Source organism: Homo sapiens, chromosome 2, assembly GCF_000001405.40.
Source record: "Homo sapiens chromosome 2, GRCh38.p14 Primary Assembly".
Taxonomy (NCBI): Eukaryota; Metazoa; Chordata; class Mammalia; order Primates; family Hominidae; genus Homo; species Homo sapiens.
In genome coordinates, this window is record NC_000002.12 from 215,489,248 (window position 1) to 215,490,163 (window position 916).

The following is a 916-nucleotide window of genomic DNA, read 5'->3' on the forward strand; positions in this document are numbered from 1 at the left end:
ATCTCAGTTGGCTAAAAGCTGATAGCAGAGATAGAGAAACCCAAGAAGGTGCCAGTGGAAGTTCTCATTCCAAAACTTCCCTCATCATTTGGATGCCCACTATATTCTACTTTTATGGGACTGTCAACTTTTTTTTTTCCTTCCTTGAAAAGACATTAGTGTTTTACCATTATCAGCAGTTATGAGAAACTTTGTGAAGACACGATTTTTCCTCTCTCCATAGTTCTGAGTTTTTCTGTGAATTCAGCGTTTTTATGGATGCCATAATGAACAGATTGTTGAAGTATGAGCACCTTTTGTCAGTCACTTCTCAGTTTTGGTGTCAGATCCAGTCTCTGCCCTTCTCGATAATGGGAGAGCAACACTTCCCTGTTTCCCCTGCACTCTGACTTTTGGATCACTCTGACCAATAGAAGGCACAAGTGAGACACTGGAGGGCAGAAGGAGGGGAGAAGACAAACTAATTCTCTCTCTCTGCTTTGGTCAATATCTCTAACAGATGTGTCTCCTCTGTGGCTCCAGCCCCCATTGGGCAGATGGAAATGGTTCCACTCTGCATTGGGCTTGGGCTTTAGAACTTCTGTAACATCTACTTAACACATTTTCTATATTAAGGTACTTCTATGGAAAACATAGACTTATTTCTGTTTTCTGACTGGACTCTGACTGATACACACTTGTAGAATCTTTATGAATATCTCTGAAAGAAAACATTAGAATGCTGGAAAATTCTAAGATTGTAGGGGTAATAGAAATTCTAAATAAATAAATTCTGGATCATTGATGATGCTTTGGGTATCGACAATCATGCCATTAATGATCAGATATTATTAGGCATAGACAAGCTAATCTTTGTGAAGACCTTATCCTAGGTAAGGATAGTGAGAAGTTTATTAACTCTAAATACTACATATGG

The 916-nt window shown here is 38.8% G+C and overlaps 1 annotated feature.

Annotated features, from left to right (window-relative positions):
• Positions 259 to 553: an enhancer, noted in NCBI's record as "tiled region #5619; K562 Activating DNase matched - State 13:Ctcf". NCBI's record gives its function as "activates a minimal TATA promoter and a strong SV40 promoter by Sharpr-MPRA in K562 cells {active_cell/tissue: K562}" and the evidence as "EXISTENCE:reporter gene assay evidence [ECO:0000049][PMID:27701403]".